The sequence below is a fragment of the Homo sapiens genome, chromosome 15 (assembly GCF_000001405.40).
Source record: "Homo sapiens chromosome 15, GRCh38.p14 Primary Assembly".
Lineage (NCBI taxonomy): Eukaryota > Metazoa > Chordata > Mammalia > Primates > Hominidae > Homo > Homo sapiens.
Window position 1 is genome coordinate 97408603 of NC_000015.10, and position 17633 is coordinate 97426235.

The following is a 17633-nucleotide window of genomic DNA, read 5'->3' on the forward strand; positions in this document are numbered from 1 at the left end:
GTTCTAGATATTTTAGATATAGTGTTCATTGAACTCTCATAGCAACTCTCTGAGGCAGCAACTATGATCATCGTAATTTTACAGCTGTGGAAATGGAGGCACATAGAAGTTCAATAACTCACTCAAGCTTGCACAGTGATTAAGTGGTCAGGATTCAAATCCAGGCAATCTGGCTTCAGAGATCATGCTCTTAAACACTGTGGCCTATTGCTTTTTGAAAGGTAGGAAGACATAGTCTGAGTTGGTCTCCTAAGGAAAGACTACAAATCTCAAATCATATTAAGAGAAGCCCTTTAATAGGTGTGTGGTCTATACTCCATAAAATATGTGAAAAACGTAAAAATAAAATCTGGGTTTTTTTTGTAAGTGCTAATACCCTCTCAACTGCTTGATAATCATATGAGCGCATGTTAAATGAAAGGATTTAGTGGGGAGGGGATGTGGTTCTTCATTAAAGCCTAGACTTCTGTCTATGTTTAACAAAGAGTTTGGGATTCACTGGGATTTGACAAAAGTGGAAGCAAGTAAGCCTAAAAGAAAAAAAAAAAAAAAGGAAAAAGTCCCTAGTAAGAACATTAAGGAATATCATTTCAAGTCATAAAAATTTGAGGAATTTGTACTTTTCTAGTTCAAATTTTCATTTATAGAATGTCTTCTTAATTCTGTGACAGCACTAATAAATGTTTTAGGGTTTTTGGAGCACATATTTTGTTATACCTACAGTCACGTATTTATATCTGTAAATTATAATTTTTTTGGAGCAACACAAATTCTATCAGTGAATAGTAACAACTAAGCTTTTTATAAAAAACTATTCTACAGATAATCAGAGCATGAAGCACATTTTAATTATGCTATACTATACCACATCACACACTCGCATATTCAAATATAACACATATATGCATAATAACAACAGTCATGCAACGAGAAGCCCTGAGTCACCCTAGCTCCAGGTAATACTGATACTCCCCTCCATGATGTTGACAGGTTCTTTATTAGGACGTTTTGATACCCTCCTTCTTCAACTGTGTGAGTCAATCAATTAGTATAAAATTATAATCTGGAATTATTCTTTATTTTCAAGCTTATGAAGCTCAAACACAAATATCTGCATTTACCTATCCTATTTGAAGAACAGATTCTGCTTTCACACCTTGGAGTATCATTTATGCACAGAATGACTTGCAAGAAGTAATTTTTACCCCTGGGGCTAACTAATAGCATTGTCTTAGCCTTAGTCTCTATACATGTATGCAGTGTGCATTGTAGGAAATCTCATGCAAACCTGTACCTTTCACATGTGTGAGTACCAACACAAGGCAAGAAGTACCAGTGTTTAGGTGCTGTTCCACTTGGTGTTCAAGCTGCCCTCCCAAATTACTCACTTATAAAAAAGACTAAAAGGAAAAATCAAGCAAACAGTCATCTTGTTTTTGTAAAATTAGACCAAGTTACATGTCTTTATGGCAAACCTTTCTGGTTTTTTTTTTTTTTTTTTTTTTTTTTGAGACGGAGTCTTGCTCTGTCGCCCAGGCTGGAGTGCAGTGGCGGGATCTCAGCTCACTGCAAGCTCCGCCTCCCAGGTTCACGCCATTCTCCTGCCTCAGCCTCCCAAGTAGCTGGGACTACAGGCGCCCGCCACCACGCCCGGCTAATTTTTTGTATTTTTAGTAGAGACGGGGTTTCACCGTTTTAGCCGGGATGGTCTCGATCTCCTGACCTCGTGATCCGCCCGCCTCGGCCTCCCAAAGTGCTGGGATTACAGGCGTGAGCCACCGCGCCCGGCCTCTGGTTATTTTTAACATAACATCTAGTATGTTTTCTTATTTTGGTCAGCATTTAATGTTTGTCCTCTGATTATTTTAGCCATGATGTTTTGCAAATGTAAATCAACCTTTGAAGAATCAACTTTAAAGGCAGGAAGTAGGGGCCAGGCACGGTGGCTCACGCCTGTAATCCCAGAACTTTGGGAGCCCGAAGAGGGAAGATCACCTGAGGTCAGGAGTTCGAGACCAGCCTGGCCAACATGGTGAAACCCCATCTCTAGTAAAAATACAAAAATATTAGTTATAGTGTGTGCAGTACTATGTTAATCATCTGTGATGTATTAACGGTAATTAAAATTTTCTTGAAATTGTTGCAATAAGGAAGAATAATGTCAACATTTTCAGTGTACAAAATATTACTATACACACAGATATAACTATTTCATCTAATTACTTTGATTATGTAAGAGTTGAGCATATTTACATAGAGTGTGTATACAGTCACACGTTTCCTATATACCAGTGAATGTGTGCATACATATATAGAGTGTGTGTACATATACATGTAATACAGTATGTTATTGTGTTCTTGAATCCCACCATCATTCAGTGTCTTGCCAAATAGCATTACAGGCATAGTGCCAGATCTTTTCACTTCCCCACTGAAGTCACTTGGAACATATCTGAACGTGGCAAAATGCATTTGCCAAGTTATGTGCATAAAAACATCCTTTGATCTTTCAGAGTCATAAATATGTAATAAACTACATGATTGCCCTACTGATCTGTCCAACATCAATCTTATCTTCGTTTTTTATAGGTTCATCAAAATAAGATATGATCAAGGTACAAAAGAGTTAAAGAAGCTATTTATTTTAATGTTTCCTTGGAGAGCACACTTGTTATTGTAAGTACAAATTATATATATAATATTTCATGAATGATGTTGAAGCATTAAAAATCACCTCTGCTCTTGAAGTTAACACAAAACGCTGGCCCACTGCCAGTACTGCGCTTGTCCCCTTCTGGCTTCCTACTAGATACAGTGTCATTTTTTCCAGAATAATAGTGGAATAGCTGCACAAAATTTTGTTTTTAAGTCATAGACTCGATTCTGAACATAATCTGTATTTCAAATGTTCAGATATTTATGCCCTTAACTATTTCTTTTGAGCCAAAGAGTACTAACCAAAGTTAGGGATTATCCACATTTTAAGACATCAAAATAAGGTTTATAGAGAGGAAAACAAGGGTGGTGGAGATAATAGGAAGGAATTATGTTAGCAAAGGACAACATATTTTACTGTTGCTATTTTATTCTATAAGAAGTGCATATCACTGACTTCTATTCCAACTTGTGGTTTATTGAGTGTTTTTAACAACAAGCTGTAAGAATGGGCTACATCAGCTGATGAGATCTTTAAATTGACTATTGTGAAATATTGTAAGACAGCAGAAACATTATGCAAGCCGTAAATTCAGTGAGGGATGTTGTGAGTAGTAAATTCTACATTTTTTTCACAAGGGACAAATAAGATTGAACTAAGCATTTCAGTTGTGAAAAGTTGTGAAAAGGACACAACTTTTACCTTATAGCAGAAAAAAAATCATCCAAGTTTAATCTGATATATTTAGGGCAGTATAAAATGGTGATTAATGTCAATGGGTACATTTTCACAAGTGTGAGCTGTGACTTCCTTCACGGTAGCATAGAATGGACTGAGTTAGTGTAGAATCAGTAATAAACCAGGAAATTTTCTCCAGTGTACACAATTATTCTATCAGGGAAGGCAGAAAGGACCCTAAAACAGTTCAATTAAATTCAGTAATATGGAAACATAATAACAAGATTTTAATCTTCGCCAGCGGGGTGGCTCATGCCTGTAACCCCAGAACTTTGGGAGGCTGAGGTGGGTGGATCACCCGAGATCAGGAGTTCGAGATCGGCCTGGCCTACATGGTGAAATTCCATTTCTACTAAAAATTCAAAAATTAGCTGGGCATGGTGCTATTCTAGAGGCTGAGGCAGGAGAATCACTTTAATTTAGGAGACAGGGGTTGCGGTGAACCAAGATTGTGCCACAGCACTCCAGCCTGTACAACAGAGCAAGACTGTTTCAAAAAAAAATTAATCTTACTATAAATTGTGAGACTGATTCATCATATGAATTTGGTTTTAAAAAAACAAAAATGGTAAATACATTATCTGAGGCAGGTAAAAATGTAAACCACTGAAAGTTTAGAGAAATTTCTGAAATAAATAGTACTATTTTGCCTATTGACATAAAAAGAACACTAGTCTTTATTAGGTCTCATTGATAACTTTGCATCTAAAAGATCATGAACAGTTGTAATTTCTATTTCATATAAATCTGTGGTTACAGTGGTCTTAACTCTGATTTCCTATTAAAAAAAAATTCAGGCTTCTACTTTGCAACAGACAATTATAGCTGTGCCTTAGTATGGGAAGAGAAAGCTTCCTGTAATCCTGTATGCACACTCTGAATGGTTATGACCAGGTGAAAGAAAATCGAGCCAGCTCTCCACAGAGAACACTGCCTGACTTTGTAAAGGCATTTGAAGACCAAAGATGTATCTACGTTTTGTGCACAGAGATGAAGGAAGCCCACACTTAGGTTTCTGGCTAGGGATATCTCTAGTCTGACCATGTTTCATTCAATTGAAAATTACTCTAAGCTATGTCCAGAGCTCTGTGAGGGCACCCCACACAGGGCATTTCTGCTTTTCTCTCTTCTCTTACTCCCATCTCTAATCTCTCACCCAAACCTGGTTTTCTCTCAGCCTTCAACCTCGGCTGCTTTAAATACCCTTAATCCTTAAGCCCCCATCCCTCCTATCCCATGCTCACTTAGAACTAATGAAGTAATCATTTTTCTAAGGAAATCAAGACTACGTATCTTGAATTTCTTTCTTTTTTATTTTTTTTTTTAATTTTTTTATTATTATTACACTTTAAGTTTTAGGGTACATGTGCAGGTTTCTTACATATGTATACATGTGCCATGTTGGTGTGCTGTACCCATTAACTCATCATTTAACATTAGGTATATCTCCTAATGCTATCCCTCCCCCCCTCCCCCCACCCCACAACAGGCCCCAGAGTGTGATGTTCCCCTTCCTGTGTCCATGTGTTCTCATTGTTCAATTCCCACCTATGAGTGAGAACATGAGGTGTTTGGTTTTTTGTCCTTGCCATAGTTTGCTGAGAATGATGGTTTCCAGTTTCATCCATGTCCCTACAAAGGACATGAACTCATCATTTTTTATAGCTGCATAGTATTCCATGGTGTATATGTGCCACATTTTCTTAATCCAGTCTATCATTGTTGGACATTTGGGTTGGTTCCAAGTCTTTGCTATTGTGAATAGTGCCGCAATAAACATATGTGTGCATGTGTCTTTCTAGCAGCATGATTTATAATCCTTTGGGTATATACCCAGTAATGGGATGGCTGGGTCAAATGGTATTTCTAGTTCTAGATCCCTGAAGAATCACCACACTGACTTCCACAACGGTTGAACTAGTTTACAGTCCCACCAACAGTGTAAAAGTGTTCCTATTTCTCCATATCCTCTCCAGCACCTGTTGTTTCCTCACTTTTTAATGATCGCCATTCAAACTGGTGTGAGATGGTATCTCATTGTGGTTTTGATTTGCATTTCTCTGATGGCCAGTGATGATGAGCATTTTTTCATGTGTTTTTTGGCTGCATAAATGTCTTCTTTTGAGAAGTGTCTGTTCATATCCTTCGCCCACGTTTTGATGGGGTTGTTTTTTTCTTGTAAATTTGTTTGAGTTCATTGTAGATTCTGGATATTAGCCCTTTGTCATATGAGTAGGTTGTGAAAATTTTCTCCCATTTTGTAGGTTGCCTGTTCACTCTGATGGTAGTTTCTTTTGTTGTGCAGAAGCTCTTTAGTTTAATTAGATCCCATTTGTCAATTTTGGCTTTTGTTGCCATTGCTTTTGGTGTTTTAGACATGAAGTCCTTGTCCATGCCTATGTCCTGAATGGTATTGCCTAGGTTTTCTTCTAGGGTTTTTATGGTTTTAGGTCTAACGTTTAAGTCTTTAATCCATCTTGAATTAATTTTTGTGTAAGGAAGGGATCCAGTTTCAGCTTTCTACATATGGCTAGCCAGTTTTCCCAGCACCATTTATTAAATAGGGAATCCTTTCCCCATTGCTTGTTTTTGTCAGGTTTGTCAAAGATCAGATGGTTGTAGATACGCAGCATTATTTCTGAGGGCTCTGTTCTGTTCCATTGATCTATATCTCTGTTTTGGTGCCAGTACCATGCTGTTTTGGTTACTGTAGCCTTGTAGTATAGTTTGAAGCCAGGTAGCGTGATGCCTCCAGCTTTGTTCTTTTGGCTTAGGATTGACTTGGCCATGGGGGCTCTTTTTTGGTTCCATATGAACTTTAAAGTAGTTTCTTCGAATTCTGTGAAGAAAGTTCTTGGTAGCTTGATGGGGATGGCACTGAATCTATAAATTACCTTGGGCAGTATGGCCATTTTCACGATATTGATTCTTCCTACCCATGAGCATGGAATGTTCTTCGATTTGTTTGTATCCTCTTTTATTTCATTGAGCAGTGGTTTGCAGTTCTCCTTGAAGAGGTCCTTCACATCCCTTGTAAGTTGGATTCCCAGGTATTTTATTCTCTTTGAAGCGATTGTGAATGGGAGTTCACTCATGATTTGGCTCTCTGTCTGTTATTGGTGTATAAGAATGCTTGTGATTTTTGTACATTCATTTTGTATCCTGAGACTTTGCTGAAGTTGCTTATCAGCTTAAGGAGATTTTGGGCTGAGACAGTGGGGTTTTCTAGATATACAATCATGTCATCTGCAAACAGGGACAATTTGACTTCCTCTTTTCCTAATTGAATACCCTTTATTTCCTTCTCCTGCCTAATTGCCCTGGCCAGAACTTCCAACACTATGTTGAATAGGAGTGGTGAGAGAGGGCATCCCTGTCTTGTGCCAGTTTTCAAAGGGAATGCTTCCAGTTTTTGCCCATTCAGTATGATATTGGCTGTGGGCTTGTCATAGATAGCTCTTATTATTTTGAGATAACGTCCCATCAATACCTAATTTATTGAGAGTTTTTAGCATGAAGGGTTGTTGAATTTTGTCAAAGGCCTTTTCTGCATCTATTGAAATTATCATGTGGTTTTTGTCTTTGGTTCTGTTTATATGCTGGATTACATTTATTGATTTGCGTATATTGAACCAGCCTTCCATCCCAGGGATGAAGCCCACTTGAGCATGGTGGATAAGCTTTTTGATGTGCTGCTGGATTCGGTTTGCCAGTATTTTATTGAGGATTTTTGCATCAATGTTCATCAAGGATATTGGACTAAAATTCTCTTTTTTGGTTGTGTCTCTACCAGGCTTTGGTATCAGGATGATGCTGGCCTCATAAAATGAGTTAGGGAGGATTCCCTCTTTTTCTATGGATTGGAATAGTTTCAGAAGGAATGGTACCACCTCCCTCCTTGTACATCTGGTAGAATTCGGCTGTGAATCCATCTGGTCCTGGACTTTTTTTGATTGGTAAGCTATTGATTATTGCCTCAATTTCAGAGCCTGTTACTGGTCTATTCAGAGATTCAACTTCTTCCTGGTTTAGTCTTGGGAGGGTGTATGTGTCGAGGAATTTATCCATTTCTTCTAGATTTTCTAGTTTATTTGCATAGAGGTGTTTGTAGTATTCTCTGATGGTGGTTTGTATTTCTGTGGGATCAGTGGTGATATCCCCTTTATCATTTTTTATTGTGTCTATTTGATTCTTCTCTCTTTTCTTCTTTATTAGTCTTGCTAGCAGTCTATCAATTTTGTTGATCTTTTCAAAAAACCAGCTCCTGGATTGATTAATTTTTTGGAGGGTTTTTTGTGTCTATTTCCTTCAGTTCTGCTCTTAGTTATTTCTTGCCTTCTGCTAGCTTTTCAATGTGTTTGCTCTTGCTTTTCTAGTTCTTTTAATTGTGATGTTAGGGTGTCCATTTTGGATCTTTCCTGCTTTCTCTTGTGGGCGTTTAGTGCTATAAATTTCCCTCTACACACTGCTTTGAACATTCAAAGCAGTGTCCCAGAGATTCTGGTATGTTGTGTCTTTGTTCTCGTTGGTTTCAAAGAACATCTTTATTTCTGCCTTCATTTCGTTATGTACCCAATAGTCATTCAGGAGCAGGTTGATCAGTTTCCATGTAGTTGAGCGGCTTTGAGTGAGTTTCTTAATCCTGAGTTCTAGTTTGATTGCACTGTGGTCTGAGAGACAGATTGTTATAATTTCTGTTCTTTTACATTTGCTGAGGAGAGCTTTAGTTCCAACTATGTGGTCAATTTTGGAATAGGTGTGGTGTGGTGCTGAAGAAAATGTATATACTGTTGATTTGGGGTGGAGAGTTCTGTAGATGTCTGTTAGGTCTGCTTGGTGCAGAGCTGAGTTCAAGTCCTGGGTATCCTTGTTAACTTTCTGTGTCGTTGATCTGTCTAATGTTGACAGTGGGGTGTTAATGCCTCCCATTATTATTGTGTGGCAGTCTAAGTCTCTTTGTAGGTCACTCAGGACTTGCTTTATGAATCTGGGTGCTCCTGTATTGGGTGCATATATATTTAGGATAGTTAGCTCTTCTTGTTGAATTGATCCCTTTACCATTATGTAATGGCCTTCTTTGTCTCTTTTGATCTTTGTTGGTTTAAAGTCTGTTTTATCAGAGACTAGGATTGCAACCCCTGCCTTTTTTTGTTTTCCATTTGCTTGGTAGATCTTCCTCCATCCTTTTATTTTGAGCTTATGTGTGTCTCTGCATGTGAGATGGGTTTCCTGAATACAGCACACTGATGGGTCTTGACTCTTTATCCAATTTGCCAGTCTGTGTCTTTTAATTGGAGCATTTAGCCCATTTACATTTAAAGTTAACATTGTTATGTGTGAATTTGGTCCTGTCATTATGATGTTAGCTGGTTATTTTCCTCTTTAGTTGATGCAGTTTCTTCCTAGCCTCGATGGTCTTTACATTTTGGCATGATTTTGCAGTGGCTGGTACCGGTTGTTCCTTTCCATGTTTAGTGCTTCCTTCAGGAGCTCTTTTAGGGCAGGCCTGGTGGTGACAAAATCTCTCAGCATTTGCTTGTCTGTAAAGTATTTTATTTCTCCTTCACTTATGAAGCTTAGTTTGGCTGGATATGAAATTCTGGGTTGAAAATTCTTTTCTTTAAGAATGTTGACTGTTGGCCCCCACTCTCTTCTGGCTTGTAGAGTTTCTGCCGAGAGATCCGCTGTTAATCTGATGGGCTTCCCTTTGTGGGTAACCCGACCTTTCTCTCTGGCTGCCCTTAACATTTTTTCCTTCATTTCAACTTTGGTGATTCTGACAATTATGTGTCTTGGAGTTGCTCGTCTCGAGGAGTATCTTCGTTGCATTCTCTGTATTTCTTGAAGCTGAATGTTGCCCTGCCTTGCTAGATTGGGGAAGTTCTCCTGCATAATATCCTGCAGAATGTTTTCCAACTTGGTTCCATTCTCCCCGTCACTTTCAGGTACACCAATCAGACGTAGATTTGGTCTTTTCACATAGTCCCATATTTCTTGGAGACTTTGTTCATTTCTTTTTATTCTTTTTTCTCTAAACTTCCCTTCTTGCTTCATTTCATTCATTTCGTCTTCCATCACTGATACCCTTTCTTCCAGTTGATGGCATCGACTCCTGAGGCTTCTCCATTCTTCACATAGTTCTCGAGCCTTGGCTTTCAGCTCCATCAGCTCCTTTAAGGACTTTTCTGCATTGGTTATTCTAGTTATCCATTCGTCTAATTTTTTTTCAAGGTTTCTAACTTCTTTGCCATTGGTTTGAATTTCCTTCTGTAGCTCGGAGTTGTTTGATCGTCTGTAGCCTTCTTCTCTCAACTTGTCAGTATCGTTCTCCATCCAGCTTTGTTCCGTTGCTGGTGAGGAGCTGCGTTCCTTTGGAGGAGGAGAGGCGCTCTGCTTTTTAGAGTTTCCAGTTTTTCTGCTCTGTTTTTTCCCCATCTTTGTGGTTTTACCTACTTTTGGTCTTTGATGATGGTGACGTACAGATGGGTTTTGGTGTTGATGTCCTTTCTGTTTGTTAGTTCTCCTTCTAACAGACAGGACCCTCAGCTGCAGGTCTGTTAGAGTTTGCTAGAGGTCCACTCTAGACCCTGTTTGCCTGGGTATCAGCAGCAGTGGCTGCAGAACAGCGGTGGCTGTAGAACAGCAGATTTTGGTGACCCACAAATGCTGCTGCCTGATTGTTCCTCTGGAAGTTTTGTCTCAGAGGAGTACCCGGCCGTGTGAGGTGTCAGTCTGCCCCTACTAGGGGGTGCCTCCCAGTTAAGCTGCTCAGGGGTCAGGGACCCACTTGAGGAGGCAGTCTGCCTGTTCTCAGATCTCCAGCTGCATGCTGTGAGAACCACTGCTCTCTTCAAAGCTGTCAGACAGGGACATTTAAGTCTGCAGAGGTTACTGCTGTCTTTTTGTTTGTCTGTGCCCTGCCCCCAGAGGTGGAGCCCACAGAGGCAGGCAGGCCTCCTTGAGCTGTGGTGGGCTCCACCCAGTTGGAGCTTCCCTGCTGCTTTGTTTACCTAAGGGAGCCTGGGCAATGGCGGGCGCCCCTCCCCCAGCCTCGCTGCCACCTTGCAGTTTGATCTCAGACTGCTGTGCTAGCAATCAGCGAGACTCCGTGGGCGTAGGACCCTCCGAGCCACGTGCGGGATATAATCTTCTGGTGCGCCGTTTTTTAAGCCTGTAGGGAAAGTGCAGTATTAGGGTGGGAGTGACCCGAATTTCCAGGTGCCGTCTGTCACCCCTTTCTTTGACTAGGAAAGGGAACTCCCTGACCCCTTGCGCTTCCCAGGTGAGGCAATGCCTCACCCTGCTTCGGCTCGTGCAGGGTGCGCTGCACCCACTGTCTTGCGCCCACTGTCTGGCACTCCCTAGTGAGATGAACCTGGTACCTCAGATGGAAATGCAGAAATCACCCGTCTTCTGCGTCGCTCACGCTGGGAGCTGTAGACCGGAGCTGTTGCTATTTGGCCATCTTGGCTCCACCGAATTTCTTTCTTAAGATCTCTTTTTTCAGCATTTCTCTTATTCTGCCTGATGCTAATTACTGTCCCTCAGAGGGAAATATATCATGTTTTTATTCCTTATTTTATGAAACAAATATTCAGTGATGCTTTTCCTGCTTAAGGATCTGAATTAGACTCATTTGAAACAAAGAAGATATATAATGCATAGCCTCTGCTTTAAAAAAGATACTATCTCACTGTGGCGGAATATACTCCGTATAAAAGTGACTAATAACAGAGTCTCTAAGAAGTGTCCATGTGGTGGAACAGAGAGTTGTCTAGGTTAGTAAGAGAAAAGGAAGCATTTTGGAGAGGAAAGGGAAATGTTGAGTAGGCTATTCCGCCAAGCCACACTCAAGGTCAGGGACAGGCTTTAAAGGCAGCCTGGGGCCAAACAAATGAGCCATGAACTTGGGCAGGAGAGTCTAGGCTTAACTTGACAGGCAATGCAGAAATTTTGTCAAGAGAACAGTTAAGATCTTTAGGCTGTATTGTATTTTTAGAAGTGTCTTTTAACAATAAAACATGTCCAGAGAGCAATTGCCCGTGTGACAGAGTGAGAAGGTCAACAAATCCTATTCCCAAAAAAGCAACGATAAATCTGGATAAGATGATAAAAAAAAAATCATTTCAGCAACCTGGTATTTAACCAAAGGCATAGAAGAGAGAAGGGTTTATTCATGAAAACTACCAAACTTCTGGTATTAAATGTGGTCATCTGAGACATTTTTGAGTAAGGCTGCTCCCATCCTCCATCCCACCTGCCAGCTCTGTCAGAGCCTTAGTTCAGTCAAGGTGTGGCTGGCTTTCAAAATAGGAAGTTACCCATCATGGGAGAAGAGGCCTCCCTTGACTTGGAATGTGGTCAAAGTAATCTCAGAGGCAAGAAAACAAGGGAGTTCAGAGGCTTCATTTGGCTGAGATTGAAGGTCGATTGGAGGTGAGATGTAGAATACAGGACTATTCAAGGATTTAACAGGGAGTTCTGGAAAATAGCCAAATCATTCTTAATAAGGTAGCCACATATCTTCTTATGATTTTTTTTAAATTACAATTTTAAACGGTTTCAGGGGTTTATCATATACAGGAAAATAACAAAAAGGAGAAGGTAGAAAAGGGACATATAGTGAAGCAGTTTCTATATTTAATGGATTTAAATTAGTATTATTTTGAAGTAGGTTTAGAGGAATATTATGCCTACAACAACTACAAAAAAAGAACCCTCAAAATAATATATTAAGAAATAACAGAAGTAAAGCCATATTTATGTAATCTAAAATAAAACAGTAAGAGAGGAATAAAAAAATAAAAAAGGTAGCATTCAAATGGAAAGCAAATTGGCAAATAAAATTTTAACTATATACAAATGATAATAGATGTAAAGACTCTTTAGTGAAAAACCAGACTGCCAGATTAGATTTTTTTTAAAACCTGATTCTATAATTTCTACCAAAAACACTTTGCATTCAAAGACATAGATTGACTGAATTTTTTTTAGTGCCTAAATATGTAGGGGGCAATTTGTAGAGGGAAATTTAAGTACATCAGAAATACATAACAACTATAATGTGTATACACATCTAGCAAGAGAATCCCAAACACATGAAACAACAAACTAGCAAATTGAAATGATATATCAACCATTCAACAATAACTGGTGAAAGAATTCAGTGAATTACTTTCAATGATTAATAAGAAAGATAGAAATTCAGCAAGTTTAAAGACTTGACTTGAACAGGACTATAAAACAATTTGACCTAATTGTCAGTCATATATAAACCCTTTCGTGTAACTACTGAAGATAGATATTATTTTCAGGCACATATAGGGAATTCGCCAAGATAGAGCATATTCTGGGTCACAAAATAAGCTTCAAAACATTTTAAAAGTATTTTTGTCCTATAAATATGTTATCTTACCACAATGGAATTAGAGATAATCAAGAAACAGAAATCGTAGAAATAGCCACTTTTTCAAATATTTGGAAATTTAACAACATACTTTTAAATAATCCAGAAGGGAATTTTAGGAAAATCCTGAAATTAACAAAAATGAAAGTAGTGTCTAGCAGAATTTATGGGGGTCAGTTAAGCAATGGTTAGAAGGACATTAATAGCAAAAAACAACTAAAGAAAATCAGAAAGTTCTAGAATCAATGATTTAAGTTTCCACCTTAAGGAACTAATAAAACAAGTGGAAATGGAACCAAACAAAACTAGAAGAAAGAAAATATTAAACATTAGAAGGATAACAAAAGAAATAAACAGGAAAGTGGTAACAGTAGTAAAAGAAACCAAGTTGCTTTTTTGAGATCAAAAATAAAATTGAGTCACCCTTAGCTATACTGACAAAAAGTAAACAAAAGGAACACATTACCAATATCAGGAATAAAAAAGGAACATTATTAACAAATACAAAGAAATTAAAAGAATTAAGTATAATATTGTGCAAAACTATATGCCATAAAATTAGATAATTTACATAAAATAAAACTTAGACGTAAATTATCAAAACTGATTCAAAAGGAACTAGAAAACCCGAGTTAACTATAATAAGACATTACCATAGTAATTAAAAATTTTTCCATAAAAGAAGACAGGCATATAAGCCTTCACTGGTGTGATCTATCAAATATTTAAAGTAGAGATAATAAAAATCCTTCATAAACTCTTTCAAAAAATAGAGGAAGGGGCACTTCCCAACTCATTCTATAAAACCAGTACTACTCTATCACCAACACCAGAGAAAAGCATCATAAGAAAATAAAACTTCACACCAATATTTATCATGAATATAAATACAAACATTCTTATTAAATTTTTGGCAAACTGAATTCAGCAACACCTAAAAATATTGTATGTCATTATTATATGGCATTTCTATAATATTAATAGAATGAAGAAAAAAATTTAACCTCATCATTTTGTAGATATAGAAAAACTTTTTGAGAAAATGTAATACCTAACAATGATAATAAGTCTCAAGAAACTACAAATGGAAAGAATTTTCTTCAACCTGATATAAACAATCTATAAGAACTTACAGTTTATATCAAACTTAATTGTGAAAGACTAAATGCTTCTTCCTAAAAATGGGTACAAGGCAAGGATGCCCACTCTCACACTTCTATTCAACAAAGTTGAATAGAATGGATGTTCTACACACTGCTGTGAGAAAAATAAAATTACTGAAAAGAAGGCAGACTTGTAAGGAGGAAGCAAAACTGTCTTTTTATAAATGACATGATTCTGTATTTAGAAAATCCTGAGGAATACACAATTCAATTAGTAGAGCTAATGAATGAGTTTAACAAAGCCAAAAGATACCAAAAAGTCATTGAACTTTTATATACTAGCAATGAACAATTTGAAATTTTGAAATTGAAATGTAAAATTTGAATTTGAAATAGAAAAGTAAAAAATTTCAGGCTTGGCACTGTGGTTCACGCCTGTCATCTCAACACTGGGAGGCCAAGGCAAGAGAATTACTTGAGCCCAGGAGTTTGAGACTAGCCTGAGCAGCATACTGAGATGTCATCTCTACAAAAAATCAAAAAATTAGTGAGGCTTGGTTGTTTGCACCTGTAGTCCCAGCTACGCAAGAGGCTGAGGTGGGAGGATCACTTGAGCCTGGGAGGTGGAGGCTGCAGTGAGCTGGGATTGTGCCACTGCACCCCAGCCTGGGTGACAGAGTGAGACCGTCTCTCTCTCTCTCTCTCACACACACACACGCACACACAGAAGGAGAGAGAGAGTAAAATATTTGTATCTTCAATAGGATAAAAAAGTTAAAGTACTTAGGAATAAACTTAGCAAAATAATGCATCATTGCTTAGAGAAATTGAAGAGGATCAAAATAAATGGAGAGATACTTTATGTTCATTGATAGAAGAGTAAATATTGGTTGAATGGTAATTCTTTCTAAATACTTCTATGAATTCACAATCACTATCAAAATTCTAGGAGAATTTTTTTTGGCAGAAATTCTTAATCTGATCCTAAAGTTTATATGAGAGTTCAAAAAACTTAAGAGATCAAACACAATTTTGAAAAAGAAGAAAATGTGGAAGGGCAGATACCATCCGGTTTTGAAACTTACCGTGGAGCTGCAATTAAAAAATCAAGAGACTGTAGTTTTGGCAGAAAAATGGCAATATGGGAAAATGGAAAACAATTGAGAGACCAGAAATTAACATTTATGTTTATAGTCAACTGCTTTTGGAAATAAAAATGCTATGACAGTTCATCAGTGAGAGGATAGTTTTTTTTACTAAGTAGTGCCAGAATAAATACCTCAATACAGGAAGTAAAAATACTTTCTACCTAGAGCTCTGGATTTTTGAGCATATGCTTCCTAAACTAATTAATGGCATAAGTCTAGTGCATTGCCACTGTGCACCAAAATATATCACAAATTGATCAAAGATTGAAGCAAAAATGAATGAATCATAAAAACACTAGAAGAAAACATTGAAGAGTTTTTTTATAAATATATCCATCTGGGCAAGCATCATAATCCAGCATAAATTAGTCTATAATTAATGATTGTAGAATTGTAGAATAAATAAGTCAAGAATGTACATGTGAAAGTACTTAACTAAACATGGAGAAACTACATTACCTATCTAAAGTGCAGAAGAACTTAATGATGACTCAAAATCCAGAAGCCATAAAATAGATTGATCAATTTGGTTAGGTAGAAAATATAAATCTTCTGCATGGAAGGATGTCAGTCATTTCATTTCATAGACAAAAAAAAAAAAAAAGCTAATCTTCTATAAGATAAACATCCACAACCCAATAATAAACTATCAAAGATACGAAATAAGTAAATAAAAAGAAAGACATACAAAGGACCCTTAAACGTATTTAAAAGTATTCAACCTTCTCATAAGAAGAGAAATACTCGTTTCTTTTATATGAAATACAGGAGCCGGCAACTCTAAGGCTTTAGGTAGCAGAAACTAATGAAGAAGTTCTCTAGGGCTTCACTGTCAAAATGTTTCTTTTCAGTGTACTCCAGTTACTTTCTAAAAGTAATAGAAACTCCCTAAAAAAGCAGTTTGACTCCCCTCATTTAGAGGATGGGTCAATAGGTGCAGCAAACCACCATGGCACACGTATACTTATGTAACAAACCCACATGTTCTGCACATGCATCCCATTTATTTTTTTAGAAGAAATAAGGAAAAATAAAAATTAAAGAAAAAAGAAAAAAAAGCAGTTTGACAATCTGTACTAGAATCTTAACAATTTTTATATGTCACCCAGCCATCTCATTTCAGAGAATCTACCCTAAAGAATAATAATTAGACTTACATACCAGGATACGTGTGACAAGGATGTTTATTAACAATGAGCCTGACTGGATTTGACTTAGATCAAGTGCCACTTCTTGGCCAAGGGAGTGCAGAGAATCTCATGGGGACAGAATGCAAGAGAGAAGATTTGTCTATTTATCTAACAGATAATTTGTAGGGCTTATGATGTGTCAGGCACTGTTCTAATTGCTTTTGTGATTAATTGCTCAGTTCATCCTCATAATATCCCCATTTTACAGATGACTAGCAGTATGCACAGAGATGTTAAGTAACTTGTCTGTGATCTCACAGAGTTGAGATTCAAACATGGCAGTGTAGTTTGAAAGTCCATGCATTCAATAATGGGCCCAAAGAGAATCAAGGTGCTATTTTCAGAAGAAGGAAACCATTTGTATTCAGGCAGAACCACAGCGTCCATTACTGTCAGTGGTGTCTGCTGCCCAGAGCAGACACTCTTCTCAAGTATTTCCATAAGACACATGGGCTACGCTGATGGTAGCACGTGGAGCACAGCTTTATAGCTGACTTGAATGTGTCTGTCTGCTCTGAAAGACCCTACGGCACAATGTCTCTGGGGCTCACTGGAAACTTAATAAGCACTGTCAAATAATATCGAAGATATTTAGAAGGAAAGCATTCCTCCTTGATTTTCACCTCAAAGTTTGTGGAGACAGGGTCCTTGGAGGAAAAGGGAAATCCATGAAAAAATATGGTTTGAATAATATGCAAGGCTTCAAACTTGGGTTTCATTAATTTCTATTGCATTATAATTCTAATACCAGCCTGACACGAACTAATCTCAGAGTGTATTAGTAGCACAGACTAAGGCATTTTAATGTTGGAAGTACTTGCTTAAAAGTCAAAATAGCAAAAAATGTGATAAGAATTTGATAGACATTAATAAATTATTAAAACATTGATTCAAGAACTATCCGTGAGGACCTAGTATGAGTCAGCGACAACGGTAGGCTCTGTGCACCATTCTAAGAGCCATATTGCTTCCTGTAATTTGATCACTTGAAAAAAAGCAGTCATATGTGGTGATTCTTGTTGATTTAACCATTCTAGTCAAATAGCTCGCCATCTATTTTGTAAGGAAATGTGGTAAATTTTTGTTGCTTGACTTTCATATGAATTAGTTCCATTAAAAACAGTTAAACCAGTGGCCTGGGTGTACTGTATCAATATCTATTTCATTTACATACAAATGCTCTGAGTACTAAAGCTAACTCTTGTGTCGCAGTGAGCATCTGGTGGTTATTATGTAGGTGTAAATAATTAGAGAGTCACACACCAGATTTGATTCATGCTAGTTGACAATTGGTATGATTCTGACATTAAAACAAGCATTTTGTGTGTCTGAGCTCTCAGTAAATGAATCATCTAGTCATTTTCCTTTTATTTTGGGAATACACAGGATACA

General features: G+C 37.6%; 2 long non-coding RNA genes across 5 annotated transcripts in view, besides 1 other annotated feature; one reads left to right on the plus strand and one right to left on the minus strand.

Annotated features, from left to right (window-relative positions):
- Positions 1–17633, plus strand: part of LINC02253 (long intergenic non-protein coding RNA 2253) — a 197799-nt gene that overhangs the window by 174311 nt on the left and 5855 nt on the right. For all 4 annotated transcript variants that reach the window (NR_183855.1, NR_183853.1, NR_183854.1 and 1 more), the window contains one exon: positions 2590–2676. This is a non-coding gene — a long non-coding RNA (long intergenic non-protein coding RNA 2253). The remainder of the gene's footprint in view (positions 1–2589; positions 2677–17633) is intronic.
- Positions 1–17633, minus strand: part of LINC02254 (long intergenic non-protein coding RNA 2254) — a 151441-nt gene that overhangs the window by 38232 nt on the left and 95576 nt on the right. The gene's annotated exons all lie outside the window — the stretch shown is intronic.
- Positions 9974–10540: an enhancer, noted in NCBI's record as "NANOG-H3K4me1 hESC enhancer chr15:97961806-97962372 (GRCh37/hg19 assembly coordinates)". NCBI's record gives its function as "activates a minimal SCP1, AML or CMV promoter by ChIP-STARR-seq in primed H9 embryonic stem cells {active_cell/tissue: H9 hESC(primed)}" and the evidence as "EXISTENCE:reporter gene assay evidence [ECO:0000049][PMID:30033119]".